The sequence below is a fragment of the Homo sapiens genome, chromosome 8 (assembly GCF_000001405.40).
Source record: "Homo sapiens chromosome 8, GRCh38.p14 Primary Assembly".
In the NCBI taxonomy this organism is placed as follows: domain Eukaryota; kingdom Metazoa; phylum Chordata; class Mammalia; order Primates; family Hominidae; genus Homo; species Homo sapiens.
In genome coordinates, this window is record NC_000008.11 from 137,285,304 (window position 1) to 137,288,436 (window position 3,133).

The window sequence follows — 3,133 nt, forward strand, 5'->3', positions numbered from 1 at the left end:
ACTCCAAAAGGCTCTCATCTCAGCCCACGTCCTCATTCTCCCATACCTCACCAAACCTTTCTCCTTTATACTGATGAATGCGTGGAGTTGCACTGGGTGTTCTAACCCAGTCAAAGAGAACCACCCTCCAGGTTATTGCCTACCTCTCTAAACAGCTTGAAGCCACAGTTCTTGGATGGCCTGCCTGTCTCCAGGCATTGGCGGTAGCTACTGTACTCACCCTTGAAAGCCTAAAATTATCTCTCCATGCCAACCTAACAGTTTATTCAACCCATAACATCAAAGACATGCTAGCTCGCCACAGTGTACTAAGTCTCATCTCTGCCCCACATTTCCTCCAACTGTATGCTCTATTCATAGAAACCCCTCAAATCACCTCAAATCACCATGCTAACCAGCTCCTGTCTAAACCTGGCCACACTCTTACCTGAAGCTACAACTGCCCAAAACCCTACACACTGCTGTGTAAACATTTTTCAAACCTTTCTTATACCTTTTCCAAACCTAACAGACCAACCCCTTCCAGATGCCTCCTTTACTTGGTTTGTAGATTGCAAATCCTTCCTACATCAAGGGCTCCGGCATGCTGGCTATGCTATAGTGTCACTGCCCCCCCGCACACTATTGAAGCGAATCTGCTCCTCCCAGGCGCCACCTCCCGAAAAGCTGAACTCATCGCCCTCACTCGATTTCTCACTCTAGCAGTCAGGCAACAGATCAACATATATTCAAATTCTCGTTATGCGTTCCACATAGTGCACTCATACTCGATTCATCTGGAAAGATCGAGGTTTCCCAACTGCAAAAAACACTCCCGTCATAAATGGCTCTCTCATCAGCAAGCTCCTTTAAGCTGCCAGGCTACCACAGAAAGTTGCCATCATTTATTGCAGCGGCCACCAAACCCCGGACAATCCTATATCAGCTGGAAATGCTTTAGCAGATCAGGTAGCCAAACAAGTAGCCCTACAACCCGTGCAAGGCCAGTTTCTGTCCCTGTCGTTATTCTCTCCTCTTTACTCCTCAGAAGAAAAGGAGGACTTCCAGGCCCAGAACCTTCAAAGGCAAGGACCATGGTACATCAAGGAAGGGTGCTTTGTTCTTCCTCACTCTCAAAGCCTTCCTCACCTCCAAAGCCTCCACAGCTCTTGCCATGTTGGTTACAAACCTCTCTTGCAATTTATCTGCCCTATTCTCACTTGTGTTCGAGAAATTACCCAGGCCTGCTCTATCTGCCACTCAGTTTCACCCCAGGGCTCCCTCCGGTCACTGCCTTTTCCTACCCACCAAGCTGGAGGCCAGATACCTGGGCAAGATTGGCAAGTAGACTTCACTCACATGCTGCCCAATAAACAGCTCTGCTATCTTCTAGTCTCTGTACTTTCTCCAGGTAAGTAGAAGCATTCCCAACAACTTCAGAAGGTGCAAATGCCATCACACAAACCCTTATCATGCATATAATTCCCCATTTCAGACTCCCAACATCCATTCAGTCAATAACAGGCCTGCCTTCATCAGCCAAGTTACCCAAGGCATCTCTACATCCTTAAAAATAAAGTAGGATCCCCACACACCCTACAGGCCTCAATCTTCAGGCAAAGTTGAAAAAATTAACTCTGTCCTTAAAACCCAACTTTCTAACCTGGGTCTATAAACCTGTCAATCATGGACAAAAAATCTCCCTTTTGCCCTTATAAGACTCCACACAAAACCAAAGGCACCCTCTTTTTATAGTCCCTTTGAAATCATGTATGGCTGAACCTTTTTCTTGGGGCCTCCACCCTTACCAGACTCTGAGCCACTCAGCAATTACCTCCCCTCCTTAATCCAGACATGGTCTTTCATTCATGAAGCAGCGAATGAGGCCATGCCTCTCCCTGTTGACACCTCCTTGTCCTCTCAACATAACTGTTTTGCAGGCACAGGCGTGATTCCAGACAATCCAGATGATGCTCCTGCTACAACGACACGGTGGATACCAACCCGTCTCTCAAGAATACCCAAAAAATGAAAGTTTTTCTTTTTCTAAGGTGCCCATGCCACCCGCTATGTCACGCCTGCATTAGTTATTGAGAAAGTCGTCCCTTTTCCCTTTTTTCTATAACCAAATAGGAACGTAAGATCCTCCTCCACAGGGCCTGAAAGCTTAAGGAGATGAATAACTCCTCCCTTCGCAGGCCCAGTCCCAAGACACAAGGCCACTTGGCGCCAGCAGGGTGCATCAGCAAGAGAGCAGAAGCAGGAAGAGAGCTGGCCGGAAGACACGCACCCCTGAAGATCGAGAAAGAGGCCATCCAGGTACAACCTAGCAGTTACGTCAGGCGAGAACACTTCCTGTTTACAGGAGACTAAAAAACCTTTGTCCCATCCTCACTTAGGGCTGACGCCATTTTAGGCCTCAGCCTGCCTGCAGCCAGGCACTCATTAAAACGGTATATTGCTCCACACCACCTTGTGTTGTCTGTTGGCATGCTCTTGGGGTTTGAACCGATACAAGAACCTTACAGTGTGTATATACATATATATGCATATACGTGTGTGTTTATATATACATCTGTGTGTATATATACGTATGAATATATATACACACACACACACACACACACACACACACACACACAACCAAAAACCTCCATGTGACCTTGGGGAGACCTCCCCTGCTTCTATATAGTCAGCATTATGAGAACAATGGAAGAGGGACCTCCAGGGCTCTGTGTTCTCATGGGCAATCTCTACTCTTCCTCCTCACTCATACTCAGAGCCACAAGTACCAGAGTCTTATGATGAACTTTATTGCCATTGAAGCCATTTGCCAGCATAAACTCTACAAACCTAGTTAACTCTGCATCCCTTGGATTCTCGCTCCCATGTGGTTCTGTGTGTTTTTAAAGTGACCAGTCTTCCATTCACCACAAACCTCCTAAACATTTCCACTCTACTTTTAGGACACCAGTACATTATCTGACATCTCAACATCATTCCTTGTGTTTTGTTGCCCTTCTTGCTCTAACTGGAACCTGGCTCACCGTGGAGATTGCTACTTCTCCTGAAATTTTCTCGAAACCATGATTATTTACTTCTCCACACCTTTCATGCAACTCAAGGAGTTTCCCTTTTTACTGCCGTTGCCAAA

The 3,133-nt window shown here is 46.5% G+C and overlaps 1 annotated feature.

Moving 5' to 3' along the window:
• Nucleotides 1,429-2,628: an enhancer, noted in NCBI's record as "MED14-independent group 3 enhancer chr8:138298975-138300174 (GRCh37/hg19 assembly coordinates)". NCBI's record gives its function as "activates an origin of replication core promoter dependent on BRD2, BRD4, P300/CBP and CDK7 cofactors, and independent of MED14, by STARR-seq in HCT116 cells {active_cell/tissue: HCT116}" and the evidence as "EXISTENCE:reporter gene assay evidence [ECO:0000049][PMID:35650434]".